Genomic DNA, 22,370 nt, shown 5'->3' with positions numbered 1-22,370 from the left:
GGACTCAAGTAATCCGCCTGCTTTGGCCTCCCAAAGTGCTGAGATTTACAAGCATGAGCCACTGTGCCAGCCTCTGCTCCCCATTTCCTACTCTTATTTATCTTTTTGCCAGATTTTCTAACTTGGCTTTTTGTTTTGTTTTGTTTTTTTAGACTTGTTAAACCTCATATTCTTTCTGGGCCTTTCTATTCTTCTCTGTTTTGAGAGAACTTAGACTAGGTGATCTCTAAACATTTCAGTAGTAAAACAATGCATGTTCTTTAGTGTCCAGTTTCAATATTGCTTCATTTATAAAGTCTTACCTGACCCTGTAGCCTGTATTATGTTGTCTTGCTCCACAAATTATTTCAGTATTTACTTTAAAATGTAGACATAGGTTAACTTGTGTTTTGCTTACATATATTTGTTTTAATTACTTAATACAGTTGCAAGCTCTTTGAAGAATGACACTTCCTTTTTAAAGAATTTAATTACTATTTATTTTTTAATCATTATATTACTATGTAGCAGTCACATCATAGTAATAATTACAATGACAGTAACCTCTGAATACTAACTCTGAGGCAGACATTATTTTAAATGCTTTACTTATTATGTCCATTCTCATAATTGGTAACAGGATGTTGATGAGATAAGATCTCGTTTCATCTCCATTTCACTGATGAGGAAAGACAGATACATAAAGGTTAAGTAAATTTCCTCACCACTAGTGAGTAAACATAGATGGACCTAAGCAGGGATACTTCAAAACCCATGCACTTATCTGTTTTGCTATAATGCATAACTACTGTGTACTTGCTGAATGAATAGAGTGTTTTTAATCTTTAATATATGTTGGGTACAACCTTGGTATTTTTTGTACTTTGAATAAAATATTAAGGGTGTTTCACTTTTTTAAAAATGGGGACAAATAACTATCTTAGTAAACTAAATATTGTGATCAATTTTCCCAATTAAGAGCAAATATTCAAATTGCCTACTTTGAGGTATTTTGAAAAATTCTTTTGCTTTTGAAAGAAAATTTGTGACATGTATAATACTTGGATTTTGATTTGCGGTGTCTTAATTAGTATTTCTTACTCATTTTCAGTTGAGTGGTGATTTTATGCAATGGCTTCAAGCCACAGTTCTTCACCAGTGCCTCAAGGAAGCAGCAGTGATGTTTTCTTTAAAATAGAGGTAGATCCGTCAAAACACATTCGACCTGTGCCATCACTGCCAGATGTGTGTCCCAAGGAACCCACAGGTAATGCTTTTTTTTTTTGTAGGATTTTTACTGATGATTTCTATTATCTTTAAATGAGTAGTCAGGTTTTATATACCAACGTTAGAAGAGTAAATTTTATGATGTTAAAAATCATTTGGGGGGGCCGGGCACGGTGGCTCACGCCTGTAATCCCAGCACTTTGGGAGGCTGAGGTGGGCGGTTCACGAGGTCAGGAGATCGAGATCATCCTGGCTAACATGGTGAAACCCTGTCTCTACTAAAACTACAAAAAATTAGCCGGGTGTGGTGGCAGGCGCCTGTAGTCTCAGCTACTCTGGAGGCTGAGGCAGGAGAATGCTGTGAACTCAGGAGGTGGAGCATGCAGTGAGCTGAGATCGGGCCACTGCACTCCAGCCTGGGTGACAGACAGACTCCATCTCAAAAAAAAAAAAAAAAAATCATTTGGGGCCCGGCGTGGTGGCTCACGCCTGTAATCCCAGCACTTTGGGAGGCCAAGGCAGGCAGATCACTTGAGGTCAGGAGGGAGTTCAACATCAGCCTGGCCAACATGGTGAAACCCCATCTCTACCAAAAATATAAAAAATTAGCTGGGTGTGGTGGCGTGTGCCTGTAATCCCAGCTGCTTGGGAGGCTGAGGCAGGAGAATCACTTGAACCTGGGAGGTGGAGGTTGCAGTGCACTCCAGCCTGGGTGACAGAACGAGACTGTTTCTCAAAAAAAAAAAAAAATCATTTGGAAATGATTGGGAAATTGAAATTTTTTTTTAATGTATTTCATGCATTACTTATATAAACTGAAAAAGTGTTGAAAATGAAGGTACAGATTGAAAGCTGCTTAGTTAAAACATGGTACAGTCAGCCCTCATCATTTGCATATTGTGTATTTGCAAATTCTCCTGACTCCTTAATATTTATTCATAATCCCCAAATCACTACTTGCGGCACATTTGTGGTAATTTGCAGTCATGTGCAGAGCAGTGAAAGATTTGAGATACCTGACACATGCATTCCCAGCTGAAGTTGAACAAGACAAAGCTCTGCCTTTTTGTTTCAGCTCTCATACTATAAACTAATGTTCTTTTTGTGGTCTGTTTTTACTTGGTGCCACATGTTTGGAGCTTTTTGTTGGTGATTTTGCTGTTTAAATTGCCCCTAAGCGCAGTGCTAAAATGCTATCTGGAGTTCCTAAGTGCAAGAAGGCTATGATGTCCCTTATGGAGAAAATACATGTGTTGTGTAAGCTTCATTCAGGCATAAATTATAGTACTGTTAGCCACAAGTTCGGTGTTAGTGAATCAATGATGTATACTGAATAAGGCGTCTTTAAACACACAAAACAAGGTTATGTATTGATCAGTTGATGAAACTATTGTGACCAAAGGCTCGCAGGAACCTAACTCTTTAGTTTCCCTACAAGCAGTGGTTCAATATTTGCTAATTCAATATTCACAATAACTTTATAGAACAAATACACTACTAATAATGAGAATAGAGTAAAATTTTCCTTCTTGTATGGTTAATGCCACAGCAACATTTATGTCACCTAATTATAAGCCAAAGGATATTTTATCTAGGAGATCCTGCCATGATATAATAGAAAAGAGGCCTACCTCTAAAAAACAGTGGGGTATTAAAGGATAGAAAATACATAATAGAAAGCAGCATAGTTCTGATGTTGAAAAAAAAAGATAGAGTAATTGTACATTAAGGAAAGGAGTTCATGAAAGACTTTCTTTACTATTCACTCCACCCTGCAATCGTAGTTCTCAAATTTTGCATATCTTTTATCTCGTGCATATTTTTCAAAGCCTTAGTAATTGATGCTGCCAGCTGAAGGTTATTCAATCAGATTGATTTTTATTAAATCATTTACTGTGGAAGATTAGTTGGTTTGCGTAAGATGGAATCTGTGCATTTTTAGTTTTCTAGTGTGTACTTTCAAACATAGAACCAATTTTACAGCATTTACAGAGTTCTCTTGTTTACTTTTTGCAGGTGATTCACATAGTTTATATGTTGCCCCATCTCTAGTTACAGATCAACATAGATGGACTGTATATCATTCCAAAGTAAATCTCCCAGCAGCATTAAACGATCCTAGATTAGCAAAAAGAGAATCTGACTTCTTCACAAAAACATGGGGATTGGACTTTGTGGACACTGAAGTCATACCTTCATTCTACCTCCCACAGATCAGCAAGGAACATTTTACAGTATATCAACAGGAAATCTCTCAGGTAATATCTAATCTTGGCTAGTTACAGTCAGGTCAAAAGTAATAGAAATATTTTTAGTATGCTTTATTATAGATTTTTGACCAGTAATGTTTGATGAACCTATAGTATTCTTTTCGTTCATACAAATTGTACTGTCCTGGGTTGCATTTAATTCTTTGCTTAAATATATTTTAATACATTTCTCTTACAGTAGTGATTTTTCAGAATTACACATTCCAAATAATGCTAAGATTCAACATGAAACCTACCCTGCTTACCAAGGAGAAAATGATTCTGTTAGGCCTATAAAGTCCAGATGATTTGTGAGGTTTGAGAAATTGGCAGAATATTACTGTTTCTGTGTCTGATTCACTGCATACAATTCTATAGAGCACCCTAGCTCTAGCAGATAGTTATAATATCTCCAGACATAATTATAACTTAATATATTACTTTAAACCCTGTCTGAGAGCAAGAACTGAGTATAGTGCAGAGTTTTAGATGGTCTATCAATTCATCTTCAGATTATTAGTAAGTGGCTGTTATCAATACAATTAAAATCATTAAAGTGGTACAGGGGATATTTATATTTTTATAACCATTCCTTTTTATACTTTTTTCATTAGCAAGCCTAATTTGAATTTAGCTGGTTTTATTTTACTTACTTTGCACTTTTTTGAATATGGCTGTATTAACATTAATACTATATAGCATCTGGTTCATTTTTATTCCTATCAAATATTTTTATACAGAACCTATATATTTTATTTGCCTTTGTGTGTATATATTGCCATATTAACAATCACTTAGATCTGATCATTGAAAACAACACAAAAACTGTTTTCAATGATCAGATCTAAGTGATTAAGTAGATGAACATTAATATGCCTTTGTAACCTATAATTTGGTTTTTCTATTTGTATATTGATCAAATATTTATTGAGTGCCTTCCATGTGTCAGGTAGTCTTCTAAACATGAGGATACAGCAGAGAACAAAACTGACATCCATTCCTTCCCTTACAAAGCTATGTTTTTAGCAAGGGGTTTAACAATAAACCCTAAAGCAACCACTAAAATAGCAAAACAAAGAATTACAGCTAATAATGGAAGACAGAAATGGAATTTTAAAAATTCTCAATCCAAACAAAGCCATAAATAGAAAAAAAAGAATGGATAGGACATAAAATAAATTTCAAGATGATAATCTTAAACCTAATCATATCAGTAATTACACCAAATCTAAATGGTTTAAGCATCCCAATTAAAAGGCAGAGATTGTGAGATCTGATGACCCAAGTATATGCTGTATATAAGAAACATACCTTGAATAGAAAGAAAAAAGCATTTGAAAGGAGGAAAAAATATATACCATGCTTAACAGTAGTCAGAAGAAAGCAGAAATGGCTGTATTAATAACAAAGTAGATTTCAGAGCAAAAACTATTAGTATGTATAAATAATGTTATTTTATAATGATAAAAGGGTCAGCTAACCAAGAAGACATTACAGTTTTAAGCATTTTTGCCCCTAATAGCATGCTTCAAAACATGTGAAGCAGAAGCTGAGAATTTTATGGCAAAGTAGCTATTCATAATTACGGAGATTTCAATACTCTTTCAATAAATAATAGGACAAGCAGAATATCAGCAAGATTATAATAGACTTGAACCATTAACCAACCTGGCCTGACTTGAAAGAGCACTCCATATAACATAGAAGAATATACTTTTTTTTCAAGTGTTCATGAAACATTTATGGACATAGACTATATTCTAGGTTTGAAAACAAATTTTAATACATTTAGAAGACTTTACCTCATACACAGTATGCTCTCTGACCACAGTATAATTAAAATAGAAATTAATAATGGAAAGGTTGGTGGAAAATCCACAGATATTTGGAAACCAGAACTTTATGCTTCTAAATAAAATGTGAGTCAAAGAAGAAAGAAAAATCAGAAAGTAGTTTGAACTGAATGGAAATGAAAACACAACATATCAGGATTTGTGGGGTGATGCTCAGTTAGCACTTAGGGAGAAATTTGTAGCACTGAATGCATATATTATTGAAAGAAGAATGATTTCAAATCAGTGACCTCAGCTTCCACCTGAAGAAGCTGGAAAAATGGCTGGGTGCAGTGGCTCATGCCTGTAATCCCAGCACTTTGGGAGGCCAAGGTGGGTGGATCACCTGAGGTCAGGAGTTCAAGACCAGCCTGGCCAGCATGGTGAAACCCTGTCTCTATAAAAATACAAAAAAATTAGCCAGGCATGATGGCAGGTGCCTGTAATCCCAGCTACTCAGGAGGCTGAAGTGGGAGAATAGCTTGAAACTGGGTGGTTGAGGTTGCAGTGAGCCGAGATCGCACCATTGCACTCTAGCCTGGGTGACAGAGCGAGACTCCGTCTCCAAAAAAAAAAAAAAACAAACAGAAAAAAGAAAGAATAAACATCAAAGTCAAAATTAGAGAAACAACAGAGAAAATTAGTGAAACAAAAAGCTGATTCTTTGAGAAGATAAACTCGATAAGCCTTTGGCATACTGATTAGGAAAAAAAGAGAAGATAAAAGTCACCAATAACAAGAATAAGAAAGGTGATATCACTACAGATTCTACAGAGATTAAAAGCCTAATAATGAAATTTTATGAATAACTTTGTGCCAGTAAATTCAACAACTTAGATGAATTTACAGATTTCTTGAATGACACAAAATACCAAATCTCTTTCGAGAAAAAATAGATAATCTGGCTGGGCATGGTGGCTCACGCTTGTAATCCCCACACTTTGGGAGGCCATGGTGGGCAGATCACCTGAGGTCAAGAGTTCGAGACCAGCCTGGCCAACATGGTGAAACTCCGTCTCTACTAAAAATACAAAAATTAGCCGGGTGTGGTGGTGCGCGCCTGTAGTCCCAGCTACTCAGGAGGCTGAGGCAGAAGGATCCCATGAACCTGGGAGGTGGAGGTTTCAGTGAGCTGAGATCATGCCATTCCACTCCAGCCTGGGTGACAGCAAGACTCCATCTCAAAAAACAAAACAAAAAGAAATAGAAAAATCTGAAATAGCTTTATATTTATTACACTGATGTATAGTTAAATACCTTTCCACAAAGAAAGCTCAGATCCACATGGCTTCACTGGTGAATTCTACCAAACATTTACAGAAAAAGTAATTCCAAATCTACACACATTCTTTCAAATTTTGGTAAAGATGTAGAAGACAGGTCTGGTTCTAGGATAAGGTGAGGCAGGTGAGCAAAATTTGAGAGGCACTGAAATCTGAGAGTGGGTACCTCCTTAAATATTGTACCGTATGCTTCTTGCTTGCTTCATCCTACTGCCAGCCTTCATGGAGTAACTGGAACTCTCATATACCGCTGGTGGGAATTTAAAGTGCTACAACCCCTTTGGAAAAAAGTTTGGCAGTTTCTTAAAAAGCTAAACATACTTCTGATCTGTCATGTAAGGAGCTTGGAAGTTGTCACTTCCGTTCTCACAACAAAAAACCTTAGCAAACTGAAAATCAACAACTGAGAAGCACCTGTGAAGGTCGCAGCCCAGGGGCACAGGCTCACTAAGACTGAAACCTAATCATAAGATCATAGAATGCTTCCCCTCCCTTCACGCATTACCACCACATCAGTGGGGTGCTTGAATAATGAGAATACAACGGAAAGGACTACATGTCTCAGACCTTATTTAAGAGGTCTGCAGGGAAACCTGAAGATAGTAGGAGAGGTGAAAAACAAGGACACAAGTGGAAATTTTAGCCTCTGACACCTGCAGCTATAGCAATCAGTAAATAAAGCCTAACTCTTAGCCAGATAAACAAAACTTCATACTAAAGGCCTATTTACCTCAGTTCTTTTTAACTTTGGTATATCATATCTGGCTTTCAGCAAAACATTACAGTGCATACCAGACAGAAAACACTGTTTAAACAGACAGATCAAGTATCAGAATCAGACTCAGATGCGGTTGTGATGTTGGAATGATCAAACTGGGAACTCAAAGTAACTATGTTTAATATACTAAGGGCTGTAGTGGAAAACATGGACAACATGCAAGAACAGATGTAAGCAGAGAGATGGAAACTAAGAATCAAAAGGAAATGCTACAAATCAAAGATAGTATAACAGAAATGAAGAATGCTTTTGATGAGTTCATTAATAGACTTGAAGTGGCAGGGGAAGAAATCAGTGAGCTTAAAGAAATGCTGATACAAACTTATAAAAATGTGTGGGATGCAAGGGAAGTAAGGCTTCAAGGAAGTCTTGCTTAAATAAGCACTGAAGGCTTCATTTAATGCTTAAGAAGAAAATTTAAAATTAATAATCCAAGCTTCTACCTTAGGAAGTTATCAAAAGAAGAGCAAATTTAATCCAAATTAAGCAGAAGAAAAGCAGTAATAAAAATTAGAGCAGAAATCAGGGAAATTGACAATAGCAAATCAGTAGAGAAAATCAACAAAAGCAAAAGCTGGTTCTTTGTGATCAATAAAACTGATAAACATTTAGCTAGATTAAGAAAAAAGAGAAGGCTGGGCATGGTGGCTCATGCCTGTAATCCCAGCACTTTGGGAGGCTGAGGTAGGTGGATCACCTGAGGCCAGGAGTTCGAGACCAGCCTGGCCAACATGATGAAACCCCATCTCTACTAAAAGTACAAAAATTAGCTGGGTATGGTGGTAGGCACCTGTCATCCCAGCTACTTGGGAGGCTGAGGCAAGAGAATCACGTGAACCTGGGAGGCGGAGGTTGCAGTGAGCTGAGATCGTGCCATTGCACTCCAGCCTGGGTGACAGAGCAAGACTCTGTCTCAAAAAAAAAAAAAAAAAAAAAGAGAAGATATAAGCTACTAGTATCAAAAATGAAAGAGGGGCTGTTTCTACTGATCCTGCAGACATTAAAAGGATAATAAGAGAATATTGTGAACAGTTCTATGCCCAGAAATTTGATAGCCTAGGTGAAATGGACCAATTTATTTTGAAAGACACAATTTACCAAAGCTTACACAACAAGAAATAAATATTCTGAATAGGCCTATATTTATTAAAGAAATTGAATCAATCATACTGCTCAAAGCAGAAATCACCAGGCCCAGATGGGTTCCTTGGTGAATTCTACCAAACATTTCAGTAGGAAATTATACCAATTATTTATAATCTATTTCAGGAAATAGAAGCTAAGGACATACTTACTAATGCATTTGGTGAGGCTGTCATGAAGCTAATACTAAAATCAGACAAAAGCATTATAAGGAAAGAAAACTTTAGACCTCTTGTGTGTTTTTTTGTTTTTTGTTTTTTTTTTTTTTGAGACAAGGTCACGCTCTGTTGCCCAGGCTGGAGTGCGGTGGCAGGATCACAGCTCACTGCAGCCTCAACCTCCCGGCTCGAGCAATCCTCCCATCTCAGCAACCCCCAAGTAGCTGGGACTGCAGGCGAGCACCACCACAACACCACGCCTGGCTAATTTTTGCATATTTTGTAGTGACGGGGTTTTGCCATGTTGTCCAGGCTGGTCTCAAACTCCTCAATTCAAGCAGTCTGCCCGTGTTGGCTATTCATTATTTTTAAAAAAAGAACTCTTAGCAAACTAGGAACAGGAAGAAATTTCCTTAACTTGATAAAGAATGTACCGGGCGTGTCGGCTCACGCCTGTAATCCCAGCACTTCGGCAGGATGCTTGAGGCCAGGACTTGAGACCAGCCTGGCCAACGTGGTGAAACTCATCTCTACTAAAAACACAAAATTTAGCTGGGCATGGTGGCGCATGCCTGTAATCCCAGCTATGTAATTGCCAATGGGTTCACCTTGCCTGCTGCTGGCTAGGCAGCTGATTTATTGAGACAGGGGAATTTCAATAGAGAATGAATAATCCACACAGAGCTGGCTGTGTGGGAGACTAGAGTTTTGTTATTACTCAAATCAGTCTCCCCGAGCATTCGAGGATCAGAGTTTTTAAGGACAACTTGGTGGGTAAGGGGAATCCAGTGAGCCGGCAGTGCTGATTGGTCAGGTCAGCGATGATATCATAGGGAGAAGCCATCTCCATGTGCTGAGTCAGTTCCTGGGTGGGGCCAACAAGATCAAATGAGGCAGTTTATTGATCTGGGTGGTACCAGCTGATCCGTCGAGTACAGGGTCTGCAAAATATCTCAAGCATGGATCTTAGGAGCAGTTTAGGGGGAGGGTCAGAATCTTGTAGTCTCCAGTTGCATGACTCGACTCCTAAACCGTAATTTCTAATCTTGTGGCTAATTTGTTAGTCCAACAAAGGTAGTCTAGCCCCCAGGCAAGAAGGTGGTTTGTTTTGGGAAAGGACTGTTATCATCTTTGTTTTAAACTATAAGCTAAGTTCCTCCCAAAGTTAGTTCACCCTATGCCCAAGAATGGACAAGAACAGCTTGGAGGTTAGAAGCAAGATGGAGTTGGTTAGGTCAGATCTCTTTCACTGTCTCAGTTATAATTTTGCAATGGGGATTTCAGCTACTTGGGAGGCTGAGGCATGAGAATCACTTGGACCCAGGAGGTGGAGGTTGCAGTGAACCAAGATCACGCCACTGCACTACAGATTGGGTGACAGAGTGAGACTCTGTCTCAAAAAAGAAAAAAAAAATCTACAAAAACTCTGTAGCTAATGGGGAAACTAGATGCTTCCCACTAAGAACAGGATCAAGGTAAGGATGTCCCCTGTCACTGTTTCTTTTAACATTGTCTTGGAAGTCCTAACTAATGTAATAAGAAAAGGAAATAAAATATATAAAAATTAGGAAGAAGTAAAACTGTTTCCAGATGAAATGATCGTCTATGTGGAAAATCCCAAAGAATCCAAAAAGAAACTCCTGGAACTAATAAGTGACTATAGTAAGCTTGCAAGATACAAGGTTAATATATAAAAGTTAATTACTTTCTTATATACCAGCAATGAACAATTGGAATTTGAAATTAAAAACCCAATGCCATTTACATTAGCATCAAAGAAAATGAAGGCTTTATGTATAAATCTAAATAGATATAAGATCTATCTGAGGAAAACCACAAGACTGATGAAAGAAATTAAATATCTAAATAAATGGAGAGATATTTCATATATGTGGATAGGAAGGCTCAATATTGTCAAGGTGTCTCTTTTTCCCAACTTGATCAATAGAGTCAACATAATCCTGATTAAAATCCTAGCAGTTGGTTTCTTGGATATTGAAAACTGACTCTAAAGCTTATATAGAAAAAGACCCAGAATAGCTAACACAGTATTAAAAGAGGAACAAAGCTGGAGGACTGATACCACTCAGTTTGAAGTTTTGCTATAAAGCTACAGTAATCAAGACAATGTCATATTGGTGAAAGAACAGACATATGGGTCAGTGGAACAGAGAACCCAGAAATAGACCCACACAAATACAATCAACTGATTTTTAACAAAGGGGCAAAGGTAATTCAGTAGAGAAAGGATAGTTGTTTGAACAAATGGTACTGAAACAACTATACATCCACATACCAAAGAGAAAGAATATAGACATACCACCTTGCACTATTCATGGAAATTAGCTCAAAGTTGATGATAGACCTTAATGTAAAATGCAAAACTATAAAACTTCTAGATGATAACATAGGAGAAAATCTAGGTAACCTTGGGTTTGGTAATGGCTTTTTAGATATGAAAGAAAAGCACAATCCATGAAAGAAAAAATTGAAAAGTTGAACTTCATTAAAATTAAAAAGTTCTACTCTGTGAAAGACACCTTTAAGAGAATGAAAAAACAAGCCAAAGACTGGGAGAAAATACTTAGAAAACACATATCTGATACAGGATTGGTGGTCAGGTGTGGTGGCTTACACCTTGTAATCCCAGCACTTTGGGAGGTGGAGGTGGAAGAATCACTTGAGACCAAGAGTTCAGGACCAGCCTGGGCAACATAGTGAGAACCCATCTGTACAAGAAAAAATTAGAAAAATTAGTCAGGCATGGTGGTGTGGACCTGTAGTCCTAGCTGCTCTGGAGGCTGAGGCAGAAAGATTGCTTGAGCCCTGAAATTTGAAGTTACAGCCAGCAACTTCAGCCTGGGCAACAGAACTAGACCCAGTCTCAAAAAACAAAAAGGGACTGGTACCAAAAATAAACAAAGGAGTTAAAACTCAACAACAACAAAACAAACAGCCAAATTAAAAAATGAGTAAAGGACTTTGAATAGACCTTTTCCCAAAAAAAGATATAGAAGTGTGCAATTAGCACATGGAAAGATGGTCAACATAGCAAATAATTTTACGTGATAAATTTTATGTTATATGTATTTTTCCTTAAAAAATATGAGCAAAAGATCTAAATACCTCACCAAAGAAGATAATGCAGATGGCAAATAAGCATATAAAAAGATGCTAAATATCAAATGTCATTAGGGAATTCATAATTAAAATGAGATGCCACTACATATCTATTAGAATAGCAAAAATCTAAAACACTGACAACACCAAATGTTGACAAGGATGTAGAACAACAGGAACTCTTATTTATTGCTGGTGGGAATGAAAAGTGGTATGGCCACTTTGGAAAACAGTCCTGTAGTAACTGATAGAATTGCTACCAGAACTCTGAACACTGCTGGCCTGCTGCTTTTCTTGTTACCACACTTCACTTTCTCAGGTATCCTTTCGGTGATATCTCTGAAAAGATAATGACATTGTTAGTGGTCATCTAATTCTAAATCAGAGTGAGATTTTTTTTTTTTTTACTCAGAACGTGTCAATAACTAATTTCTATCTTTCTTTCCTTTTTTTCTTTTTTTTTGTGATAGAGTCTCACTCTGCCACCCAGGCTGGAGTGCAATGGCATGATCTCGGTTCACTGCAGCCTCTGCCTCCTGGGTTTAAGTGATTCTTGTGCCTCAGCCTCCCCAATAGCTGGGATTTCAGGTGTGCGCCACTACTCCTGGCTAATTTTTGGTAGAGACGAGGTTTCACCATGTTGGCCAGGCTAGTATTGAACTCTTGACTTCAGGTGATCGGCCCGCCTTGGCCTCTGAAAGTGCTGAGATTACAGGTGTGAGCTACCGCACCTGGCCTAATTTGTTTCTATCTTAGATATATAGGTTTTTGAATTTTCTTTCTTGATTCAAATTATTCTCCTAATTCATACATAAATATTTTCCATTTGCTTTCTCACTTTATTCTACATATGGAGATTTTACTATAATTATATGAGATGGAATGGATGTAGGTATATAGATGTGCATAGATCTCATAGAGGTATTTGGTTTATTAACCGCTTGTTACTTGTATTTAAGTTCAGGAGGCTAGTGATTTCATATTAAAAGTCGTAGGACTAATTTGGCATATTCTGATATTCTGTTGCAAAACACTTTCATGCTTTGAATACTCATGTTTACACATACATTGATGATGTTATTTGTCTTTTTATTAGAGAGAGAAGATTCATGAGAGATGCAAGAATATTTGTCCTCCTAAAGATACCTTCGAAAGGACTCTTTTACATACTCATGGTATGAATATGTGTTATTTATAGATAATAAAGCATAGCATAAATATTAGTGAACAAAATCTTTATTTTGGGACCTTATTGCCTGTTATATCTATAATTTTTATTTCTAGTAAAATTTTTATAACCTATGATTATAATATTTTCTAAGAACTTCTAAGAGAAAAAGTAGATCTGATAGTAGTATAATCCTTTAGTTCAACAAATATTGATTGGATATCTTCGTGGTTGGTATGTTCCTTGTTGCTTAAAAATAGATGAGTAAGCTAGACATGATGGCACATGTGTGTAGTCCCAACTACTTGGGAGGCTGAGGTGGGAGGATTGCTTGAGCCTATGAGTTTGAGAACAGTAACGTAGTGATACCCTAAAGTAAATCTATAGATAAGTAAAAAGTAGCTTTGGTCCTCAAAGAACTGATGTTGTCCTGAATAAGTTTAAAGAAAGAAACCAATAATTGTATCACTGTATATTAAAGAGTAAGTTCAGTGTGGTAATGTTTTATAACATGCGTAACTTAGCTTTAGAAGCATTCCTAGAGTTGACAGTGATTACATGTGTTTTAAAGTCGTTAGTTTGAAACATTTATGTGGGAGAAGACATTCCAAGAAAAGGGAATAGTTTATACAAAGCCATAGAATAAAGAGAGAACAGAATATTCAAGGAACTGTAAGAGTTTAATATATTGGTTCTACTGGGAGCAAGAGATGAGACTGAAGCATAGGCAGTGGTCAGATCATGAAGAACCTTATATGCTGTGGTAAGGAATTTTACCTTTTCTGAAGACACTATAAAGCTACATAATATTTTTAACTAGGCATGATCAGATTTATGATTATACATTTATGTGAAAATAGTTGTGGATAGTGAATTATGGGATGATGATTAGACTAGAGGCAAGGAGACAGTTGGAGGCTACTGCAGTAATACAAATGAGAAATGATATTCCAGTAACAGTTACAGTGGAGATGGAGAGGGAATTAGGCCTTTGAGAAGTAACTCAGAGATTGAGACACAGGTTTTGGTGGCCAGTTATTGGTAATGGAGCAAAATGATTCAAGGACAATTCCCAGGTTTCTTGCTTGGACAACTGGGTGGGTGACAGTGCAATTCAGTGAGAGAGGCAATATAGGAGGAGGAATTTTGAGGGAGATGGAGGCAAGTTTAGTTGCAGATTTGCAGTGAAGAACATGCCTTTTTGGCAACCTGGAGCTCAGGTTGAAGATTTAGGCTGAAGATGTAGGTATGGTAGACATCATCATAGACAGGTATGCTGGACAATAGCATGGTAGTTGAATCCAAGGACGTTGGGTGAGATTGCCCAGGGAAGATGTGAACAGTGAGAAGAAAACGACTGGTGATGGAGCACTAATTAAGCTGTCTCATTTAAGGGGCAGACAGAAGATGAGATACCTGTGAAGGAGACAAAAAGTGGTCAGAGAGATAGGAAAGTCAACCAAGAGAGAATTGCACCTTAAAAGTTAAAGCTAGTGAGGATTTCAGAAAGTAAGAACAGTTAGTTGGTCTGTAATGTCAGAATAGTTCGGGATAGATCAATTTGTACACTGAGAAGTCTCCTTTATTTTGGCAATCAGGAGATCTTAGAGCATTTATGGCAGTTCCAGAAACCTCAATACTATATATTAAGGAGTGAGTACAAGAGAAAGAAATGTAGACTACCAGTATTATGTCACTAGAAGATTTGAGATAGATTATTGACTACAGGGAACAGAGTGGAAGAATATTTTTTCATGGCCAGGACTAGATCGGGTAAGAGGCATTTGACTATCCCTGAGAGTGAGTGCTTTTGCATCTGAGGTCCTGCCCTTCCCTCAACCTGGTCCTGGCCTGGGTTTTATCTATATCTATATATATCTATATATATCTATATATATCTATATATATCTATATATATCTATATATATATTAGAATGTGTGTGTGTGTGTGTGTGTGTGTATATATATATTTTTTTTTAATGGGAAAGAACTGAGCATGTTTATATACAAAGATAAGAGAGCTAGTACAAGGGAAGAGGCTGAAGATACTGAGATGGAGTAAACTGATTAACCAAGCTCACAGCAGAGGCAGGAGGGAATGGAGTCTAAGTGCAGAAAGATTGGTTTTGAAGAGGAGAGTAGTACCTTATCTGAGTTGGGATTGGCAGGATGAAAGTAAAGTAGGTTCATTTGAAGATAAGTGTGTATCTCAGCCTTAAGATGTCTGAGAAGAAAATTAATGTAGTATAAAAAAGCAACCTTTGATCATAAGAAATTCTGGATGGGATGATAGATCTTTTAAACAATAAAAACAATATTCCTACTTTAGAATTTAATTCATTTTTTAAAATTACATAGCATGCCATATTCAGTCTTACCAAAACTTGAAAAGATAGCACAGCAGTCCTCAATCTTTTTGGCACCAGGGACTGGTTTCATGGAAAACAATTTTTCCATAGACCAAGGGGTTTGCGGGGAGATAGTTTTGGGATGAACCTTTATTATGCACTTTATTTCTACTGTTATTACATTGTAAAATATAATGAAATAATTATACAATTCATCATAATGGAGAGTCAGTGGGAGCCCTGAGCTTATTTTCCGGGAACTAGATGGTCCCATCTGGGGGAGATGGGAGACAGTGACAGATCATCAGGCATTAGATTCTTATAAGGAGGGCACAACCTAGATCTCTGACATGTGCAGTTCACATTAGGGTTTGTGCTCCTATGAGAACCTAGTGCCACCACTGATCTGACAGAAGGTGGAGCTCAGACGGTAATGTGATTGATGGGGACTGGCTGTAAATACAGATGAAGCTTTGCTTGTGCCCACTGCTCACCTCCTGCTGTGCAACCTGGTTCCTAACAGGCCATGGCCCAGGGGTTGGGGACCACTGAGATAGCATAAAGCCTTTTATGTCTGATTAAAAAGATTTGAGATGTATTTTGCTGTTTTATTGCTGCTATATAATTGATTACAATTACCTGAAACATTGTTTTGTTCAGCGCTTTGCCTACTACTAGGCATGTAATAGGTGCTTGATAGATAATTTGTTGAAGGAATAAACTTTAGTTATTTGGATGTGACCCAGTACAATACTGAATCTGTCAAAATGTATTTTACGGAGTTAAAATGAAAACAAGTTTTAAAAATAATATTTCCCTTCTTTTTTAAATAGATAAATCCAGGACAGATCTGGAGCAAGTACCTAAGGTAACAAAGCTTAAACATGAGAAAATTGCCTTATAATATTTGATCTTTAATTTTGCCTTACAAGCAGATTTCATTTGGCTTTTTTTTTTTTTTGACCCTTTGGCTACTTTGTCTCTTGTGGGGCTGTGTTGCATCACTTTTCTTCTTTCTTTCTCACTTTTCTTTTTTTCTTTCCTTCCTTCTGTCTTTTCTGTCTTTCTTTCTTTTTCTTTCTGCTTTTCTGTTCTTTCTCTTAACTTAGACAGAATCTTGCCCCGTCTCGCAGGCTGGAGTGTAGTGGTGCAATCTCAGTTCACTGTAACCTCCGTCTCCTGGGTTCCAGTGATTCTCCTGCCTCAGCATCCTGAGTAGCTGGGATTACAGGCGCATGCCACCATGCCCAGCTACTTTTTTTGTTTTGTATTTTTAGTAGAGATGGGGTTTCACCGTGTTGGCCGGGCTGGTCTTGAACTCTTGATTTCAAGTGATCCGTCCACCTCAGCCTCCCAATGTGCTGGGATTACAGGTGTGAGCCACCATGCCTGGCCTTTTTCTTTTTTTTTTTTTAAACGAAAAAATGTTTTTAATTGACAAATAAAAATGATGTATATTTATGGTGTTTTTTCTCTTTTGCATCATCAGTCTCTTTCTCATCACTGAAACCTACAAATATTTTAAAATCTTTCCATTAAAAAAATTTTGCTGATCATTCAACCTCTTCAAATTATTAAGAGATACTTACTTTGTATGAAAAATTTTGTCGAGATGTATAATCCATTTTTTTCTGGGAAGAGAGTCAGTTACCTTCATCAGATTCTCAAATAGGTCTGTGACAGTTGTTCTTTAGGGTAAGAAAGAGATGAAAGACACAAAAAAGGTAGAAGGATATCATTTATATCATTTATTTGATCCTACAAAATAAAACTCAAAGTTTGTCATTTAAGGCTCAATGTTCACTTCATGTAATCTTTACACATTCTTTACTTCAGCCAAACTTTTTTTTGATGGCTCTGTGCTTTACTTACACTGTTTCTTGATCCTGGAAGACTTTTCCCTCATCTTCCCATATCTAATTCTCTGTAATCTTTTGCTTAAAATGGCAGCTTTACATGGGTACTTTCTTGTTCTTTCCAACAGAAGATAATTGGCCCTTTTGCCAAATTCCCATAACATTTTATCTGGGACTCTTCCCTCATCCCTCTGCTACCCCTTTAAGGATTTGTCCCTCTTCTCCTTATAAGATTTTTTTTTTTTTTTTTGAGGCAGAGTCTCTCTCTGTCGCCCAGGCTGGAGTGCAGTGGCACAATCTTGGCTCACTGCAACCTCCGCCTCCCAGGTTCAAGCAATTCTGTTACCTCAGCCTCCTGAGTAGCTGGGATTACAGGCGCCTGCTACCAGGCCTGGCTAATTTTAGTATTTTTAGAAGAGACGGGGTTTTGCCACGTTGGCCAGGCTAGGCTGGTCTCAAACTTCTGACTTCAAGTGATCCGCCCACCTGGCCTCCGAAAGTGCTGGGATTACAAGCATGAACCACTGGGCCCAGTCTCCTTATAATATTTTATCACATCCCTTGGATTGAAGCTTCATGAGATTGGGGTCTCTTTAATAAATTATCTTTGTTTCTCCCTCAGTGCCTAGCATCAGAAGTAGTCAGTAAATATTTATTGAATTAATCAATACTTTTAGTTATAATACCAAAGCAGGGATTAGAAAATTTACTCATGTCTCTAGTTAGATTTTTTTCCTACCATATTCATTCTAATTTTTGTATATAGGTAAAATAAATCAGTAAATAAAATATAGCATATAAATAAATACATAAATTGATTAAACCATGTTTTAGGCCCTATGCTAGGTGTTAGAGGTACAAAAATAAGCTATAAATTTAACCCTGCAAGAACATATGGTCTCCAGAGGGAGATATGCATACTAAATAAATAATTTCTATAAAGTATGAGGTAAATAATTAAGTATGCATGATATATTTGTGTTCAGAGATGGGAGTCATTATGTCATGCACAACGACACATTTGCCCTTTTGATTGGGTCATGTTCTTCAGGAAGATGTACAAGAAAAGGCGTTCTAGGCCAGAAGTATGTATGTAAAGATATGCATACTTTATGTATTAATACACTCATTGTAAAAAGAATAAGAGTATGGAAGAGAATTGAATATTGCTAGAGTGTAATGGGTAAATAGTGGGAGTGACAAGATACAAAGAGGTAAGTGGGTCCAGAAAAACAATGAAGGGTTTTGGATGCCATTCTAAATAGTTTGGTCTGTGGGTCATGGGAATCTATTGAGAGTTTTAAACAGGGAAGTTAATACAGTTATACTTGACATTGTAGAGGAGTATCTCTAACAGTAGTATAGGGGATAGATTAGGGAAGGATATCAGTAAATAGCTATTGAAGAGCTGAACTACTGAATGCTGTGGAGATACAGGAAAGCAGAGATTCAAGGTATATTTACAAAATATAACGGGTAGGCCTTATTGCTTAGCTGGTCGTGATATGTAAGGGAAGAGTAGTCTATTCATAAAATTGAATTTGTTTTGGTTTTAATATTTATTGTATGCTTAATCTAAACTAATTTTAAAACAATTTTGAGCAGGAGAAAATAGAAATATAGGTTAGAGAAATTGATATTTGGCATTTTAAAAAACTATCAGTGGGAAATAATGTGGAAATTTTAGGATGAGTATTATATCTGCCTCTGGTATGTACCTGTAGGACTGCATGAGTGAGTATGATCATGTAGTAATAGAATGACCATCTCCATTGGTAAAGGCAAAAAACATTTTGTATCTTTTATGAGTATTTTAAGCTTGGTGAGAAATTTACACATTTTTCTTATAGATATTTGTGTAAAGAACTCAACTGTTATCACTTGCTTTTGCTATTCATACTCAAGATCCACGTTAATTTTGTTTAATGATCATGATGTTAGAAGAGATAATGGGTATAAAGAAAATACTTATCTAATTGAGGGAAATGCATTTTTTTAATAGATTTTTATGAAACCAGATTTTGCCTTGGATGATTCCTTAACTTTTAATTCAGTTTTACCATGGTCTCATTTTAATACTGCTGGTGGAAAAGGAAATCGTGATGCAGCTTCCTCAAAGTTGCTTCAAGAAAAGGTAATTTCTTTTTGACTTTTTCCATGTAGGAAACTATTCTAGTTAAGCGGTACTGTTTGCTTGGGTTCAGATTTAGTTATTTAGTAAGCTGTACTTTTAAATTCATTTTTGTTCTTACTGATAACTATAAGCCTCCCAATCTTAACTGATAAACTAACAGCATTTTGGTTCAATGGAACACAAGTTGTGCAGATGAACAAGGAAAAACTTACTATTTGAGTGCTTCTTACCTGAAAGAGCAGTTGATGGAATTTTAATTGAAAGGCTATATTAGCTAACACAATAAATTGCTTTGCATTTGTCCCAGATATTTTATTTACATACTGGCTAATTTTATTTATTTTTATTTTTATTTTTTTGAGACGGAGTCTCGCTCTGTTGCCCAGGCTGGAGTGCAGTGGCACGATCTCCACTCACTGCAACCTCCACCTCCTGGGTTCAAGCAATTCTCCTTCCTCATCCTCCCAAGTAGCTGGGACTACAGGTGCGTGCCACCATGCTTGGCTAATTTTTTGTATTTTTGGTAGAGATGGGGTTTCACCATGTTGGCCAGGCTGGTCTCGAACTCCTGACCTCATGATCCGCCCACCTTGGCCTCCCAAAGTGCTGAGATTACGGATGTGAGCCACCATGCCCAGCCCCACATTGGCTAATTTTATAAGAATGATTTAAAGCACAGAAAACCAATATTTTCCGAGGTACTGTTTTTCATTTTCACCTAGGGATGATTATTTTGAAACAAAAATATCTTAAAGAATACAATATTCCTATTGTTTTTGTAGCTTTGCAAAGCCTAGTCTTTTACATGTTACTAGTCAGCAGTTCTTTACGTTTTACAATGTCATAGTCCAGAAGTCAGCACCTTGAAAGTCATTTAATATTTAGATCTTTAAATATAATTTACTTATCAAGAGTCTTCTAAAGACATTTGATCTCTGTTCTTTCTTAGCATTCAGTTTAGAGCTCGTCTAAAACTGAAGGTAGTTCTTAAAATGAGAAGTAGTGATTTTGTTTTACTTTAGTGATATCCCCTGGCAATCTGAAAGCTTGTCTCAGGAAGACATCAATAATATCAGGTTCAGTCCTCATCAGGAACTGAAGAAAAGACTAGCTTGGGGAGGAGAGAAGAAGAAATGTGGGGAAGGAATCATGAGTATTCCTTTTCTCACAATTGAAAACGAAAATGAGCTTTTTCCTTTGGCAACATTGTCACCTATAAAAAGGTTTTTCCATGCATAAGAACAAATTGATAAATCTGACGAAAACCATGGGTTTAGAGACACAGGCTTGCTCATGACACAGGCTTTCATATTCTAAGTATATGCCCTGAGAGAATAATACCTTAAAAAGAGAAAAACAGCAAAAGCCAGTAAAAGTCTCATCAATGTATACAGGTACTTTTAATACAGATAATTTAAAAATTATTTCCTTTATAGCATTTTAATAGGAAGTAAACTATAAAAATGTTATGCCTTGAAAAGAGTAAATCAATGGATTATTGAAAATTCAAAAAATCTTTGAGACTCAAATGCTTTTCTTATGCTGAATGTTTAAAGTGACTAAAATAATGGAAATTTTTTTTATTTGTAAATTGCAGAATCAGATTTGCTATATTTACATTCTGACTCCTTTTCGTTCTGCTCTGTTCTTAGAATAGGAATAGAAGACAGGATTCCAAGAGAGCACTTTGAAACTCCTTTTATGATGGACAACAGCTGGTTTATCATGTTCGCTTTTAAGAGCAAGGATGCTATAACTAGAATTAAAGAAATTTGTATTCTATTGTACTGTGCAAAGTGCTGGTCTGCAGTAAAATAAGGAGTTTGCACTGGAATGCAAATCACTGCACTGCTTACTTCATTAAGAAAGTCTGAAAAAAATACAGTGTGCTTAATGATGTAGTTGATTTACTTTCTAGCAAAATTCTTTATTTTATTATGGCCCTGTTAAACAGTCCACAGATTGGCAGCAGCATATAAATCACATTCTGGGTAGCACTGTCCTAAAGTTATCTATTCTCCATTTACTATTCTGGGAATTGAGTCCATGTTACCTTGCAATTTACCCTAGTATATTTGTGCCCATTTTGCTTTTTTAGTGAATAAATGAACAGCCATATTGAAGATGAAAGAGCAAAAGGGCATAAACTCAAGATTTAAACTGTGGAAAAATTTCTTGTTTGTAACCTATTTAGATATTGTAAGATTATTGAAGGAGCATTATTGAAGATATGAATGATACTCTGTGTTTCCTTAGGGAAACAGATTTGATGACCAAATAGTCTCTTCTAATCTTATGAGACCTAAATGTTGAAAGTTCATTAACCCTTTGAAACTATGAATTATCCCAAGACATTCAGAGATAATGCCCGAAGTCTGAGCTGTGGGTTAAAAAATCTCAAAGTAAAAAAATGGGTGAATAATGGAAAGATAATATAGCCAAAAAAGGCATATGCAGTTAGAAAGGAAGAAAAGGCAAAACAAGTTTTAGAAGTCCATATTTGAAATTTAGAAAGCATTTTAAATATATATTACCATAAGAATTAATCTTGGTAATGCTACTAAAAAAATATATATGAGCTAATTGTTTAAGGTATTTGTCGAACTTTTAAGAGGAAAATTCATTGGAAATAAACTGAATTTTACAAATTGATAAAAGAATCACTTTTGAAATGTAAAATAAGCAGCCTGAAAAAAATCCAAATGAATTTTAGTACCTTATCTATAATTTGTGACTGAACCATCAGTCTATCTTGGATTATTCAGCATTTTGAGGCAGAATGGTATAATAGAAACAGCTTCAGTTTTTCAGTCAGAGATATACCAACATTTTAGTTTTGCTACTTAGTAACTACATGACTGTGTTTCCTCATCTGTAAAATGATAATAATACTACCTATATTTCAAGATTGTTAAAATTAGAAAAATTAGATGTGTATAAAATACCTGTGCCTAATCCATAGGAGGAGGTCAATAAATGGAAGGTGTAATCATCTATTTAGTCAGATAAATGATGTGCAATGATATTGGGGGCTAAGGAGATCATTCTCTTTCTCTCAGATCTTAGAACATCTGAAACTGGAATTGTAATTTGAG

At 36.5% G+C, this 22,370-nt stretch overlaps 1 protein-coding gene across 10 annotated transcripts in view; it reads left to right on the top strand.

Moving 5' to 3' along the window:
• Window positions 1-22,370, top strand: part of VPS54 (VPS54 subunit of GARP complex) — a 127,279-nt gene that overhangs the window by 34,319 nt on the left and 70,590 nt on the right. For 6 of the 10 annotated variants that reach the window (XR_007076389.1, NM_016516.3, XM_047444728.1 and 3 more), the window contains 5 exons: window positions 1,091-1,246; window positions 3,223-3,464; window positions 12,866-12,944; window positions 16,119-16,153; window positions 19,144-19,275. Coding sequence is in view for 9 of the 10 variants with exons in the window: in NM_016516.3 (NP_057600.2) it covers window positions 1,111-1,246; window positions 3,223-3,464; window positions 12,866-12,944; window positions 16,119-16,153; window positions 19,144-19,275 (624 nt within the window). In the remaining variant the exon portion in view is untranslated. The remainder of the gene's footprint in view (window positions 1-1,090; window positions 1,247-3,222; window positions 3,465-12,865; window positions 12,945-16,118; window positions 16,154-19,143; window positions 19,276-22,370) is intronic. The other 4 variants (NM_001005739.2, XM_047444729.1, XM_017004316.2 and 1 more) reach the window with 2 other exon arrangements.

This window comes from Homo sapiens, chromosome 2 (assembly GCF_000001405.40).
Source record: "Homo sapiens chromosome 2, GRCh38.p14 Primary Assembly".
Taxonomy (NCBI): domain Eukaryota; kingdom Metazoa; phylum Chordata; class Mammalia; order Primates; family Hominidae; genus Homo; species Homo sapiens.
The sequence above is the reverse complement of the archived record's forward strand: the minus strand, read 5'-3'. Positions and strand labels throughout refer to the sequence as shown.